The sequence below is a fragment of the Homo sapiens genome, chromosome 6 (genome assembly GCF_000001405.40).
Source record: "Homo sapiens chromosome 6, GRCh38.p14 Primary Assembly".
In the NCBI taxonomy this organism is placed as follows: domain Eukaryota; kingdom Metazoa; phylum Chordata; class Mammalia; order Primates; family Hominidae; genus Homo; species Homo sapiens.
This window is the reverse complement of record NC_000006.12, coordinates 113,970,279-113,985,426: the sequence shown is the minus strand read 5'-3', so window position 1 is coordinate 113,985,426 and position 15,148 is coordinate 113,970,279. Positions and strand designations below refer to the sequence as shown.

At 41.8% G+C, this 15,148-nt stretch overlaps 1 protein-coding gene and 1 long non-coding RNA gene across 4 annotated transcripts in view, besides 6 other annotated features; one reads left to right on the top strand and one right to left on the bottom strand.

The window, feature by feature from the left end:
* HDAC2-AS2 (HDAC2 and HS3ST5 antisense RNA 2) overlaps positions 1–15,148 on the bottom strand; it is a 371,029-nt gene that overhangs the window by 355,303 nt on the left and 578 nt on the right. The gene's annotated exons all lie outside the window — the stretch shown is intronic.
* Positions 13,769–13,948: a silencer, noted in NCBI's record as "silent region_17490". NCBI's record gives its function as "represses an Ori minimal core promoter by ATAC-STARR-seq in GM12878 lymphoblastoid cells {active_cell/tissue: GM12878}" and the evidence as "EXISTENCE:reporter gene assay evidence [ECO:0000049][PMID:35858748]".
* Positions 13,769–14,762: a biological region, named in NCBI's record as "NANOG-H3K27ac-H3K4me1 hESC enhancer GRCh37_chr6:114291829-114292807".
* Positions 13,784–14,762: an enhancer, noted in NCBI's record as "NANOG-H3K27ac-H3K4me1 hESC enhancer chr6:114291829-114292807 (GRCh37/hg19 assembly coordinates)". NCBI's record gives its function as "activates a minimal SCP1, AML or CMV promoter by ChIP-STARR-seq in naive H9 embryonic stem cells {active_cell/tissue: H9 hESC(naive)}" and the evidence as "EXISTENCE:reporter gene assay evidence [ECO:0000049][PMID:30033119]".
* Positions 13,924–14,367: a silencer, noted in NCBI's record as "fragment chr6:114292224-114292667 (GRCh37/hg19 assembly coordinates)". NCBI's record gives its function as "represses an EF-1alpha promoter that drives an FKBP-Casp9 reporter gene in an ReSE screen in phorbol 12-myristate 13-acetate-treated (for megakaryocytic differentiation) K562 erythroleukemia cells {active_cell/tissue: K562(+PMA)}" and the evidence as "EXISTENCE:reporter gene assay evidence [ECO:0000049][PMID:32094911]".
* Positions 14,279–15,148, top strand: part of HDAC2 (histone deacetylase 2) — a 38,121-nt gene continuing 37,251 nt past the window's right edge. For 2 of the 3 annotated variants that reach the window (NR_033441.2, NM_001527.4), the window contains exon 1: positions 14,279–14,570. Coding sequence is in view for 1 of the 3 variants with exons in the window: in NM_001527.4 (NP_001518.3) it covers positions 14,519–14,570 (52 nt within the window). In the remaining 2 variants the exon portion in view is untranslated. Of the gene's footprint in view, positions 14,571–14,697; positions 14,948–15,148 lie in introns of those variants that run through there. The other variant, NR_073443.2, reaches the window with a different exon arrangement.
* Positions 14,309–14,608: a silencer, noted in NCBI's record as "silent region_17489". NCBI's record gives its function as "represses an Ori minimal core promoter by ATAC-STARR-seq in GM12878 lymphoblastoid cells {active_cell/tissue: GM12878}" and the evidence as "EXISTENCE:reporter gene assay evidence [ECO:0000049][PMID:35858748]".
* Positions 14,819–15,138: a silencer, noted in NCBI's record as "silent region_17488". NCBI's record gives its function as "represses an Ori minimal core promoter by ATAC-STARR-seq in GM12878 lymphoblastoid cells {active_cell/tissue: GM12878}" and the evidence as "EXISTENCE:reporter gene assay evidence [ECO:0000049][PMID:35858748]".

Sequence of the window (15,148 nt, the reverse complement as noted above, 5' to 3'; positions counted from 1 at the left end):
TTAAGGACTATGGAGAAAAATAAACATTGATTAAATGGAGATTTAGATCCTTCCCTAAAAAAAAAATCAGAAGAAAAGATTTTCAATAGAAGAAAACTTAGGTGGTGGCCCTGTTATGAAATTATTTATTATTGAAGATCTAGATTTTGAGAATTATACTATCATTTACAGCACTGCTTTTCTAGGCCATAATGTCCTTGGTTATCTATATGGAGCAAATAATCTGTGTGCAGTTAAAAGAAGTAGACTATATATATTCTTGGATGTAAATTGAGAAGACAGCACTTGTTCTGGGCAGAGCATGTGGCTGATGCCAGGGCCTCTCCTTATCTGGCACCTTGAAGACTCCTTGATGGGAACAGCAACAGCAGCAGCAAATGGGCTGCTTCAGCAGACCATCAGATTTCCTCATAATGTAACTATGGTCCTTTTAGACAAAGCACCTCAGAATTCTTAAATGTATCACAGTGGAGATCCTGAAGAGATCAAAGAATAGATGGAATGGGAGTCTCTTAAAAAGAAATATGACTTGGCTGGGCACGGTGGCTCACACCTGTAATCCCAGCACTTTGGGAGGCCAAGGCAGGTGGATCACGAGGTCAGGAGTTCAAGACCAGCCTGGCCAACATGGTGAAACCCCATCTCTACTAAAAATAGAAAAATTAGCTGGGTGTGGTGGCGAGCGCCTGTAATCCCAGCTACTCGGGAGGCTGAAGCAGGAGAATCGCTTGAACCTGGGAGGCAGAGGTTGCAGCAAGCTGAGATCGTGCCACTGCACTCCAGCCTGGGCGACAGAGTGAGACTCTGTCTCAAAAAAAAAAAAAAAAAAAAAGAAATATGACTTTACTTCATCCTCTAGCCTGTGAATTGAAATATTCATATTATAAGCAAGTGTAATGGATATATACTTGTTTAATTGATGTATAATTTATGTACAACATGCTGCATTGCACATATTAAAAATAAACAATTTGATGTTTTGACCTGCATATACACTTATGAAATCATCCACACAGTCATGATAATGAATATATCCGTAAATTCCAAAAATTTCCCCTTGCCTCTTTGTAATCCTTCCCTTTCTGCTCCTCCCACTGCTCCTCCCATCTCCAAGCAACCACTGATGTGCTATCACTATAGTTTGCATTTTCTAGAATTTAATATAAATGAAATTATACAGTATGTATTTATTTTTGTCTAGCTTCTTTTACTAAGCACAATAGAAAATCATCTATGTTGCTTCATATATCAATAGTTCATTTTTTAATGCAGAATGGTATCACATTGCATGGCTATATCACAATTTGTTTAGCCATTCACCTGTTAATGGACAGGTTGTTGGATTTTTCAAGTATTTTGCTATTATAAATTAAGCCCCTATGTACATTCATGTACAAATCTTTATATGTTTGTATCCTCTTATTTCTCTTAAATAAATACTTAGGTGTGGAATGGCTGGATCACAAGATAGATGTATGTTTAACTTTAAAAAAAATTAGAGACAGGGTCTTGCTAGATTGCCCTGGCTGGCCTCAAACTCCTGGGCTCAAGCGATCCTCCCATCTAAGGCTCCCAAAAAGCTAAGACTATAGGTACATGCCACTGTGCCTGGTTGACGAATTTTTTTTTTTTTTTTTTGAGACATAGTCTCACTCTTGTCATCCAGGCTCAAGTGCAGTGGCGCCATCTTGTCTCACTACAACCTCCATCTCCCAGGTTCAAGCGATTCTCCTGCCTCAGCCTCCCGAGTCACTGGGATTACAGGCGCCCACCACCACGCCCAGCTAATTTTTTTGTATTTTTAGTAAAGATGGGGTTTCACCATGTTGGCCAGGCTGGCCAACTCCTGACCTCAAGTGATACGCCCACCCTGGCCTCCCAAAGTGCTGGGATTACAGGCTTGAGCCACTGCGCCCTGCCAAATGTTTAACTTTTAAAAGAAACTGTCAAATTGTTTTCCATAGTGGTTGTGCCATTTTACATTCTCAACAGTGGTGTATAAGAGCTCAAATTGCCCCACATCTTTGTTAACACTTGAGGTGATCAGTCTTTCTAACTGTGGCCATTTTAACAGGTGTATAGTGGCATCTCATTGTGGTTTTGATGTGCATTTCCCTAGTGATTGAGGTTGAGTACTTTTTAAAGAACCTGACATCTGCAAATCTTCTTTGGTGAAGTGTCTTTTCAAATCTTTTGCCAATTTGTAGTGTACATATATATACAATATTCTTTCATAAAAACATATATTTTTGGCTACCTCATACTAGATCAATATGATGAGGCAGATTACTACCTAAGAAGTCACCAACTTCTTATTCCCACAGCTGCTAAATACACTTTACAAGTAGAAAATTTGTAAAGTCTCAGCCCATTCATGGAGTAGAACATAGAGTTCTATTCTATGTTTGGAACACAGAGTTCCAAAAGTTTCCACTGTCTCAGGAAGCATATACACAGTGTGGAATTTAGATGGCCTTGGGGCAGAGGGTGGGAAAAGTCAACTGTGAGTTGAGCATAGATCCTAGGACCAGTGTGTACAAGTGGCATCCAAAGATAACTGAAAATAAAGGAGGTTAGAAGGTCAACTGCTGGGCCGGGTGCAGTGGCTCACGCCTGTAATCTCAGCACTTTGGGAGGCCAAGGTGGGTGAATCACGAGGTCAGGAGTTCGAGACCAGTCTGGCCAACATGGTGAAACCTCATCTCTACTAAAAATACAAAAAATTAGCTGAGCATGGTGGTGGACGCCTGTAATCCCAGTTACTTGGGAGGCTGAGGCTAGAGAATCGCTTTAACCCAGGAGGCGTAGCTTGCAATGAGCCGAGATCGCAACACTGCACTCCAGCTGGGGCAACAGTGCAAGACTCCATCTCAAAAAAAAAAAAAAAAGTCAACTGTTGTTTTTAAGTGGCTCTGGGATAAAGGGCAATATTAGGGTCTTTTTTACTTGCCTTTGTTCTCCTCTTTGCTAACATGACTCACAGGCAGATGCCACCCCCATCATCTGCTGCACTGCACAGTGGCAGCAACAGGCACATGAGACAACTGGGCCCCAACAAATTCACTGGATGTTAATCCCAGGCCTCTCTTGAGAATGCCAATCTTAAGAGGGTTCACAGAGGCCTAAAATTAAACAGACTGGACACAGAGTGGGAGGGTGGTACTGCTGGGAGTAAGTGGCTATGATTCAGTAGGCATGGTACTGCCCAGTGTGGCTAACAGAGTATTTCAAAGTTGGCTGCAATAATCCTTTCAATCCACGATGCTTTTCTGAAATGTCACCTTGACATTGGAGTAGTGGGCTCTATGTCCCCCCATCTTAAAATTGGGTGCACCTTTGTGAATGCTTCATCCAAGAAGGGCCGTAAAGTTATGCGACTTCTGAGGCAAGATCATAAAAATGCCATCTTCTTCAACTCTATTGGTACATCCATTCTTAGAACCCATCTAACCATTCTGTGAGAAACACTAAGGAACCACATGGGGAGTCTTGAAGTGTATTCCCACAAATCACTTATTTACAAAGGGGAAAATGAAAACTACACAGTGGAGAAACCTGGTAGACACCACCTTGACCTAGTTATCAAAGTTAACAAGACCAATAGATAAGGAAAATAGATTAATGCATCTCCTGTCATGGTCACTAAGGACACAACATCACTCCTATGGTATTTCTGCAGACATCACAGCTAAGTGTAATATATGATTCTGGATTGGATCTGAAATTAGCAGAAAAATTAGCTGTAAAAAACTATTGGGATAGTTTGCAGGAATTTTAATACAAACCCTGAATTAGATAAGTTTTATATAGATTTCCTAATTTTGATGACTTTATCTGATTATGTAAGGGAATGTCTTAGTTCTTAGGAAATACACACTGAAATGTTTCCAACCTACTTTTAAGTGGTTTAGAAAAAAAAAAAAAAAGTGTGTGTGAACAATTGGCGAATCTGGGGAAATGGTATACAGAAGTTTCTCATACTATTTTTGCAATTATTCTGAAAGTTTAAAATTATATAAAAATTGAAAGCTCTCCCTAACCCTCTAAAAGAAGGTAAGGACTTAAGCGTTCATGGAATAGGGCTGGTTTGGACATGGGCAATACTTGTTTCCCTGGATCCAGCAACGCTCATAGGCTGGCTGTGTTTTAGAAAATAACAGATGATCCTCAGGGAATGGGAATGAACTACAGAGGGATGTCATTGCTATTTAGACAGGGGTTTGGACCAGCAAGGGTCTCCCTACAGCAGAGGGTGGCCAGTCTGTGCAAGCTCTTCCTTCTGTGACACCTTGTGGCAATGAAGAGCTATTGCGGACCTCAGTGCCATCTGTTCACCAGGACTGACCTGCTTTTAATTCCATCATCTCCTAGAGTTCTTTGACAATTTGAGAGTAAAGATGTTTAGGAAGAGACACAATGCTTTCAGTTAATATGGCATGTGAAACTTCAAACTAGAAATGGGAAAAATAAGAGATGTAACAGTGTTTGTGTCTTTAGTTTATAAAGTAATGCCAATCATATTTCTGTAGCTTTATATGCTACGGTACAACAATTGTGTCAAAAACTATACAAGTACTAAGAGATAATGACAAAAGTATGACTGAACAGTTCTCTCAAATGGGAAAAGTGCAACTGCAAAGCAAAGTTATGTAATAGTGTCTTTGCACATTAATGTGTTCTTGAAAAGCTGAGTAAACTGAACTTTTATAACTGCAACCATATTTTCACTGCACCTTGAGAATTTGAAATAATATTATAGGATGAAATTTTGAAATGTGAAGCCATAGAAACTTTTTACTTATCTAAATATTCAGTCTCTGAAAAAAATCATGTTTTGCTAAAGTGCAGTATTCCTACAAAGTTAGATATTTACATAGTTAGAAGCGAGTGATAAATCATGTACTTAAGAGCTTACATGTTTAAAATTGTGGACCACATAATAGGCAATTAGTTTGTATAACTATTAAAATTATTTACTGATAAGAAGGGTGAATTTTTGTATTTTATTTTGAATTTGCATTATGTATTAATAAAAGCTGTTTGGCTTATAAATAAGAGAGATTCATATAAACTAGTTCAAGCAAAAAATGGGAATTTATTGACCCATATAACTGGGGAGTTTAGAGGCAGTGCTAGCTTTCAGGCATGGCTCAATCCAGGGGCTCCAGTGTTTTCTTTCTAGCTAGCTAACTAGCTAGCTCTCCCTCTGCTATCATCTATATCTCTTTACTTCCCTCTGTATTTTTCTCAGTTCCTCTTTGTACAAACGGGCTTCTCCTTAAGGTCAGGGAAGACAGCCAAAAGCAAATAAAATAAGTTTCTCCAGTTTGCTCTATCAGCAATGTCTGGGGAAAATATTCTGGCCCAATCTGGATCACAAGCACATCCTGGAATGGGAGGATGGAGGCTATGTGCTTTACAACCCTACCAGGATCCTGGCCCTGGATGGGTGGCAGAGCAGGATGTTAGGAGTTATAGTTCACCCAAAGAACCAGAAGATGAAAAAAAAAAAAAAAAGGTAGTAAACAGACAAAAACTATAATTACCACTGTCCCCTATGCTTCATTAATGTACACTTTTATAATTCTAATGGACATATAGACAACTATGTATCAAAAGCTTTTTAAGCTAAATATTGGACCAATGCATGAAGACGTATTTTAACAGATTTAAAGAAAGCACTATTTGTAAGAGCCAAAAATTTTTTTAATCTAATAGGGTTTAGTTAAATCTTAATTTATTCATGAAATGTTTTTGCATGTATTTATACAGAAATGTATTATTGAGAGGGGAAAGGCAAATTTAATACATTATGTGTTTATAAGACAGCATTTAAACAGTAAATCCCAATTTTTGTTTTACAACATATATCCTCACCTGCTTACATAGACTTACGTGTATTTCTTTTTTGTTTGTTTGTTTGTTTTGAGATGGAGTTTCACTCTTGTTACCCAGGCTGGAGTGCAATGGTGTGATCTCGGCTCACTGCAACCTCCGTTTTCCGGGTTCAAGTGATTCTCCTGCCTCAGTCTCCCAAGTAACTGGGATTACAGGCAGGTGCCACCATGCCCGGCTAATTTTTTTATTTTTAGTACAGATGGGGTTTCACTATGTTGATGAGGCTGGTCTCGAACTCCTGACCTCATGTGATCCGCCCGCCTTAGCCTCTCAAAGTGCTGGGATTACGGGCATGAGACACTGTGCCCGGCCAATTTATGTGTATTTCAAAAGTAAGGAAGCATGTGCGACAAAATGATATTAAGGGCTGGGAAGAGAGATGCATGATAAATTTTTTTCCTTTTTGTCTGTATTTTCTTATTTTCTATTAAATGACATATAAAACAAAAATCAAATTCTATACAACTCAAAGTTTTATGCATTCAACCCTAGTTACAAATACTAATCCATTCCTGGCCAAGTGCGTTGGCTCACGCCTGTAATCCCAGCACTCTGGGAGGCCGAGGCGGGCAGATCACCTGAGGTCAGGAGCTTGGGACCAGCCTGGGCAACATGGTAAAACCCTGTCTCTACTAAAAATACAAAAATTAGCTGGGTGTGGTGGTGCATGCCTGTAGTCCCAGCTACCCAGAGGCTGAGGCAAGAGAATTGTTTGAACCCAGGAGGCAGATGTTGCAGTGAGCTGAGACCATGCCACTGCACTCCAACCTGGGTGACAGAGCAAAACTCCATCTCAAAAAATAATAAATAAATAAATAAAAAATAAAAATAAACAAATACTAATCCATTCCAAACTATCATGGTGCCTAGTGGCAAAAGGCAGAAGTCAGGCCCCACTAACTTACCCAGTTAACATGAGCTAAATGATTCAATTTATAAGAAAACTTTAGGTAAAAATCTAAGTGTGCTACACTGACGTGCAGAAAATGTTTGGATACCAAGCATTAGTCAAGTTTAGATACTATGCATTAGTCAGTAAGTGGATCTTGGCTCATCTATATCAGAATCACTTTGAGAAGCTTGTTAAAATGCAGACTCCCCGCGTCTCAGTCCAGAACTTCCAATTCAGAAATAATAGAAGGTAGGCCAAGGAACTGGCATTTTCAATCAATTCCCAGGGGATTTTTATATACAATGAAGCATGAAAACTCCTGTTTCAGAAATGATAAGGTAGAAACAGTATAAAAGGGAAGTGATCAGTCTGCCAAGAGAGACTTCCCTACATCATTTATGTTACAATCATTATTAATAGCACAGTTCTTTTGTATAACATTTTGACTATGAACATTAATCAGAAAAGTATAAAGTTGTCATTAAACATTCAAAAAACAGAGTAATTTTATTACATGTAGGGCTCAACATTTTTTTTCCCAGTAAAATTTTTAGCGATTAAAATTCATAAAATTCACAAAATTCTTACTACAGAAACCATCCTAGGATCTCATCTATGTTGTTAACAAAATAATCTTGAAAGTATAGATAGTTCTTGGAAAAAAAAAAAAAAGAAAAGGCATGTAAGGAGGGAGGAAAGAAAGAAAAACTCATCAGAATTTTGCTGGGCACCGAAAAAGAACTTAGGGAAAATACTTCTAAAGTCATAAAATTCCATCAAGGGTAGTCTCTAAATGATTTAAAATATAATTTTAATATACCAAATTTTAATTTACAAATTAACTTATGGGGAATCTACAATTTTAGGGAATACCTATTATCCTAAAATTTTAAGATAATAAAATGAAGAAATAAAAGTAAAATTATCCAATTAACCTTGCTTCAACCCTCTACCTAGCCAATGTGCATTTGCAAGTATATTGTAATGGAAAGCCGTGAGTAGTAATAAAGGAAACAATTAAATGGAAAATTTTTGTTTAATAGAGTAAAATGAGTTAAGCTAAATTCTGGTTTATTATAAACATACTGAATAATTTTCTATTGGGAAGAGCAAAAATCTTTATTGCCTGCTATAAGTACTTTTGAAGTACTTGGAAATATATTGTAAAGGAAAACTCAGCAAAATACAAAAATTAAGTGACCTTTTCAGTTATTTCCTTCTTTAGTTTCTATAGTGTAATAGTTGAAAGAAACTTTTTAAGATGGGAGAGCTGCAGTGTACCAGATTGCAGTTATGCAGCCCTCAGCTTATTCTTAAGTGACATAGTACTGATCCTTTTACTATGGTTGCATTAGTCAGGGTTCTCCAGAGAAACAGGACCACTATCAATCTGATGGAGTTTTCCAATTAAACTATCCAAAACATATGTAAAATTTCCTAGGAATTTTCTGTTTTCCACCTATGATCAGAAAGAATCTAGGAGTCATCCTAATTTGAATATTTCATTCATCCAAATTAGGATGACTCCTAGATTCTGTGGGTTTATAGTATAAAAAAATTCTCATTGCTTACAATGCTTTGGCATTACAGTTGACCCTTGAACAAAACAGGTTTGAACCATGTGGGATTCCATTTCAACCAAATGCAGCATTCCCCGGATGTAAAACCCATGTATATGGAGGGCCAGCTTTTTTTACACTCGGGTTCCACAGGATCAACAGTGGGACTTGAGTATGCATGGATTTTGATATATGCAGCAGGTTCTAGAACCAAGCCTTCATGTTTACTGAGGGAGGGATGACTACCTTTTGTCATGAACTGTAAAGCATTTAAACTTTTACCCTTCTTGTAAGCTAATAAATTAATCTGCTGGTTTCATGGATGCTGGCAGAAGTCACAAAAATCCTAGTTAGGAGACAAAGTACTTTATTGCTTATAGCACAGAAAGCAGCATGAGCATCAGCATATTTGTCAGTTCCTCTTGCCCCCAACTCCCACAGGGAATATGTAATGGACCCAAATGCCACCTGCACACTTAGTGGGTTGCACTGCAAAAGAGAAACCCAGATCCAAGGGTCCAAATTTCTTGAACAAGCAGCAAACAAGCCAATCTCCCTTACCCTGATGGTGAGCAGTTACACGAGAGTCATTGTACAGTTACCCTGACCCACTTAATTGTCTATGTGTCTAGCTGCAAAAATGCTCAGTCTCAGGAGACAGATAAGACTTGCAATCTGGCATACTTAGCAAAATTATGCAGGGACACTCAGGACCAAGACAGATCTTCCTCTTCTAACCATCCACCCTTAAACGTTCTTGGCAGAACTCAAAATTTCACATGAATATGTGACTCCATTGACCACTGTGATTAATCTGATGTATAGAGGCTTAATTCCATTTGTCTTGTATAGCACTTAATTAAGGGACTATCAACAATACAAGCAGCAGGACAAAGTATTGACCTTAATCATGACACCCAGAGTTCTGAATACCACAAACCAACAGGGTCTACCTTGGAAAGTCAGTGGCTTTCTCCTTAAGGCTCTCATTTGACCTTTCTACTTGGTTTGCGGCATTAATCCAGGTATAGCTGGATGTTTTAGGGACGATTTAGAATCTGACATCTGTTGCAATTCTATCATCTATAACAATTCTGGTCAGTGAGTTGAGTTGGAGCTGACTACCTTCTAAGGCCCAGGTGGTATCATTAATCACTTCAGCTGAACTCAGGGACAAATTTCTTTTCTTTTTTCTTTTCTTTTCTTTTCTTTTTTTTTTTTTTTTGAGATGGAGTCTCGCTCTGTCGCCAGGCTGGAGTGCAGTGCTGTGATCACGGCTCACTGCAACCTCCACCTCCCAGGTTCAAGCAATTCCCCTGCCTCAGCCTCCTGAGTAGCCGCAACTACAGGCCTGCATCACCACGCCTGGCTGATTTTTTGTATTTTAGGAGAGACGAGGTTTCAACATGTTGACCAGGATGGTCTCGATCTCCTGACCTCATGATCCATCCGCCTTGGCCTCCCAAAGTGCTGGGATTACAGGCGTGAGCCACTGCGCCCAGCCTCAGGGACAAATTTCTTACCACCTTTTCTAATTATCTGACTCCCATCGTTGGGACAACCAACCACAAAGTGCACACAAATGAGTCTGCCCTCTGGAAAGTTCCACCAAATAACTAAGGGTGGCCTTATTTCAGAGGGCTCCCCACAGTCATCTGAGGGCTATGTAGTCTATTCTGGGTTCCGTAAACAATCTGAAATTTTACCCTATTTGCAAGCTAACAAGCTAGTCAGCCACAGTTTCATCATGCTAGTATTAGACTCAAGACTCCTGTGTTAAGGGATAATTTATTACTCATGGCAATAGCAGTGACCAGAGCAACAGTATTAATTTTTGTGCTGCTGTTCTGAACCCCAATTCCCATATGCCAACATGAAGATGCCACATAATACTTGTACTGGCAATGGACTGCAGCATAGTGTAGTGTAGTGTAGTGTAGTGTAGTGTAGTGTAGTGTAGTGTAGTATAGTATAGTACAGTAAAGTACAGTATAGTACTTAGAGAACCTGATTTTTTTATAATGGGTAGTAATCATGCTTGTTCTTTGCTCCAGAAGGAGTCATTTTCTCTATCTTGGAACGCTGTTCACTACAAAAACATCACTGAAAAGATAGTTTCAGACAAAGCCAGCACCTCTGTTCTCAAGATATTCAGAAACCCAGAAAATTGTCTCCCAAGGGAAGCCTGTAGTTGGGAGAAATTATGAGAAACCACTAACTTCTAATTCAGATTTTGCATGAGTTAGGATTATATTCAGCTACATATAACAAAATCACAACTACAGTGGTTTACCTAAACGTGTTTTTTTGTTTGTTTCATTTTTTTTTCCCTGCATGTCACCAGAGTCCAGAAGTGCACAGTCCAGGTCTGGAACGGCTACATACAAGGTCATCAGGGACCCGGGTCCCTATCCGTCTGCTCCACTATTCTTGTCATGTGGCTTTCCACCCCATGGTCACAACATGCATACGCCACCTCCATCTGTACAGTTCTGGTGGTAGGTGGAGAAGAATGGTGACTAGATTTTAAGGAAGGTTAAAAACACTAGGATAGGAGGCCGGGTGCAGTGGCTCACGCCTGTAATTCCAGCACTTTGGGAGGCCAAGGCAGGCGATCACCACGTCAGGAGTTAGAGACTAGTCTGGTCAACATGGTGAAACCCCATCTCTACTAAAAATACAAAAATTAGCCTGGCGTGGTGGCGGGCGCCTGTAATCCTAGCTACTCCGGAGGCCTCAGCCTACTACTCCAGAGGCCTAGCTACTCCGGAGGCCTCCTGCGGAGGCAGGAGAATCGCTTGAACCCGGGAGGGGGAGGTTGCAGTGAGCCGAGATCGCACCATTGCACTCCAGCCTGGGCAACAAGGTCGAAACTCTGTCTTAAAAAAAAAAAAAAACCCAAAACACTAAGATAGGAAAGAGGAAGAATTAAGATATACATGTAAGGTGATCAGGAGACACTAACAAGTTAATTTTCTCAGATGCAGTGTGAGTATAAAAATTAGAAAATTTGAGCAAGTAGGTGGATTAGATCAAAGTGATACTGTGTTTTGAAGGTCATCAGCAAAGCATTAATCAGTTAATAATGTAACAGGAATGATTTGAAAGGTTTAGTGTAACAGTAATTGAGTAGATAAGCTATAGTTCAAAAATATATTTTTAATGTAAATGGGTAATTTGAAATTTTGTTACACAAATGCACAGTTCAAAAGTACTATAATCTCTCATTGTTAGATGTTGCTATTCAGGTTTATAAGTTATAGCTTGTAGTACTGTGTAAAGATAGGCACCATGCTTACAAGATCAGAATTCAGCTTGAGGCTGTGTGAGTTTACGACAACACTGTAGTGTGCCACTGTACTTCTCTACCTTCTGTATCGCCGTATGGAATTACTACACAAAATTAGCACTAAGAAACCTAAATTTCCTTACAGTAGAAATAAGCTTATATGAATAATTCTCTTATAGAAATTAAACTATCTGCTGCAGTTGTCAGCAGGGTTTAATTTTTAGCATAAGCTGAGGCCATCAGTTTCTTAGCAGTCCTATTCTTAAATAATCATTTCTGTTTAAGAGATCATTTTACTGAACAATTTCAAAGCACTAAATATCTTCGAGATTGAAAAAATAAGCACCTATAGATGGAGCAGAAACTAAAGAAGAACAATTTAAGGAAAAAGACAGTCCTTAACTATGCACGCATCCTATGAATTATCCATGCTTTCAGCTGGTTTCCTTTTACTGCACTGTCTAAAACTCCATATTTAAAAGGGTTTGATACAGCAGAGTTAGAATGTGGTCAATGAAATCTGGAGCTTGTCAATGGGTTTCAATAACTGATGCCACTTTTAGCTCTGCTAACATAGTAGAGATTATAGACAGAATTCTCTTGGCCAACTCCTATCATGGGATAAAACTCCTCCCACACCAGTTTCTAAAGGTAATGTAACTTGCTTCTATTGGTTTAAAATTATTAAATAATAAATACGTTTCTCAGCTAGTCAAAAGATATGTCCAGGCTCTTCTCACAAGTTCAATGTTAGGTGCTGTGGGTGCAAACAGTAATTTAGTAATTGTCACTGTTATTATAGTAATCCTAATAATCCCTTATTCACATAATTCTTCATTTTTTAAAAGTATTCCATATTAATTTTCTTATTTGAGATTCTGAATATTACTCTCCAAGTAATACTGCCCCATTTTACAGATAAGGCAATTCAAAAAACGTTTAAGTGACTTGCCCTAAGTCACAGGCACTAGAGAAACTATTACATGCAAGATAAACCTGGTCCCTTCATTTATGACACTCCATTCATAGTGGGACATTCAGACGAGTTGTGGGCAACTGCAACATGGTTAAGTGTTGAGCTACAGCATACAACGTACATGGCATGGAGAACAGTCTTGGCGGGAGAGGGGTCAGGGAAGTCTTCCCAAAAGAAACAAAGTGTCATTTCAGACTTCATTGTGTTGGCCCTGGGGAAGAACATTCACTTCTACTAAATTCACTTATTCTGTTCTCAGAATCTTCCAAGTTGATTTTGTACTTGATAGAGCACAACTTAGAAGGTCAATTAACTTTACCTCTAGGCCAGTGTTTCACTCACCGTAATTTCTCTAGCAACTTCATCAGTCACCTGGGGTCTTGTTAAAAATACAGAGGAGGGGGCGGAGGGAGGGCAGGGGCCACCCTGGACTTAACTTTTTCTAAATCTCTTGGGGGTGAGGTTGGGGAAAATTGCTGCTTTAAGCATGAACACTTTCGGGATTTTGAAGTCAAACAGCAAATTAAAAGGGGTATTTTTGGTAGTGGCTCTTAAATTCCAGCATCAATACAGCCTTTTTTTTTTTTTAATAGGGGTGTATTTGGGGGGTAGGGATAGCAATTTTATATAACTGGGATTGGGTGCTATAAAACAGGCTGTTAGCCTCCAGCCCTCACCTGCAAGGTGGCTGGCTTAAGGTAGGTACTTGATAAATGTGGATTTATTTAACAGAGGAACACTTGTATTCATAACCTCCAAGAGTTTCGAAAGTCTTTCTGCTCCAATCTTCCAGTGTCTAGCCAGCAGCATTGCTGCAGAGTGGAACAGCTAGGGTGCGTGGAGTTTGCAGAATGAGTTCAAACCTCCAGACTTATCAGTTAGCAGTAAGAACAAGTTCCTTAATCTGCCTCCACCTATAAAGAAGGAGTACAATTGCCACTTACCTCCTAGAGTTGTTGAGAGTCTTAAATGAGATTAAATATTATAAATAGATTATCAATGGAATATATTATAAATGCAAGTGCTTAGAACTGTACCTTATAAATGAGCTCCACAGATGCTTATTAAAACCCGAGCGGTGCCCTCTCCCCTTAACATCCGTAATAGGCCCCCTTACACCTCATACCCATTACGAGTCAAAATAATAATAATAATAATAAATAAGTGAACAAACGACAAACGAGAAAACTAGGCTACCAGGCACTGGGGCGATGGGCCACAGCCCGGCGGGGTAGTGGGCCCGGAAGGGGCGCGGGAGTGGGCTCTCCCCGCCGGGCTCGCGGCACGTGGTCGGCTTGGGCGGGAGCTTCGCGACAGTGGGGGAGGGGAGCAGCGTGGGACGCCGAGGAGGGGTCCAGACCGCCAAGGCTACGAGGCGCCGACTGCGCAGGCTCGGGGACAGGCGCAACCACTGCGCGCAGACCTGAGGGGGAGAACGTCCACCCGGCTGCACGCTCCCTGGATCTACTTGCGCAGCGAAAGCTTGTCTTCTTCCTCATTTTAACACTGTGTATGGCGCCGCCTTGCGCAGGTTGTTCACCCTAACAGGGCCTCTAACCTCGAGCCCGAAACGGCCTCCTTCTCCAGCCGTGCCCCTTCCTCCCCCGTGGAGGCCGCAGTGGATGCGCTCACCTCCCTGCGGCCTCCTGAGGTGGTTTGGTGGCCCCCTCCTCGCGAGTTGGTGCCGCTGCCACCTCCGATTCCGAGCTTTCGGCACCTCTGCCGGGTGGTACCGAGCCTTCCCGGCGCCCCCTCCTCTCCTCCCACCGGCCTGCCCTTCCCCGCGGGACTATCGCCCCCACGTTTCCCTCAGCCCTTTTCTCTCCCGGCCGAGCCGCGGCGGCAGCAGCAGCAGCAGCAGCAGCAGGAGGAGGAGCCCGGTGGCGGCGGTGGCCGGGGAGCCCATGGCGTACAGTCAAGGAGGCGGCAAAAAAAAAGTCTGCTACTACTACGACGGTGAGCGGCCGGGCCGGTGTCGGGGTGGGCGCGCGGGGCCGGGCGCTGGGTTCCGCGGCTGCCGTCGCGAGTGGGCGCCGGGGCTGAGGGGTGGGAAGGAGGAGGGACCGACATTTGGCCGCATCTTAACCCGTTCCCGGCCCGGCACAGTTAGAACGAGACCCTCTTCCTGGCGCAGCCCCCGCGGTTCCTGCGGGCGGGAATCAGGGGGCCCGCCCGTCTTGTCTCCTGCCTCTCCCCCTTCGGCCGTGCAGTCCGCAGCCTCGAAGGTGGCCGCCGCTGGGGACGGCGCCGGCCTACCCCGCCTTGGTGGTGGCGGCGGCGAAGGGGGCGGCCCATTCTCTCCCTTCTCCCGCCCACCATTCGTGGCAACGCAGGTTTGGGGTGCCCCGCGTCGGCCTCCTACCCCCTCGACCCGTCCCCCGCGAGGCAAAATTTCTATCCCGGCCTTGACTCTACACAAAGCCCCGCGGCCGCGAGAGCTCCGCCCCTCCCGTCCCCTTCCCTCCTCCTCGCCTGCTCGCCTCCCCTACCCTGCGTTCGGTCTGGCCGGAGCGTCTTCTCCTTCCTCGGCTTAC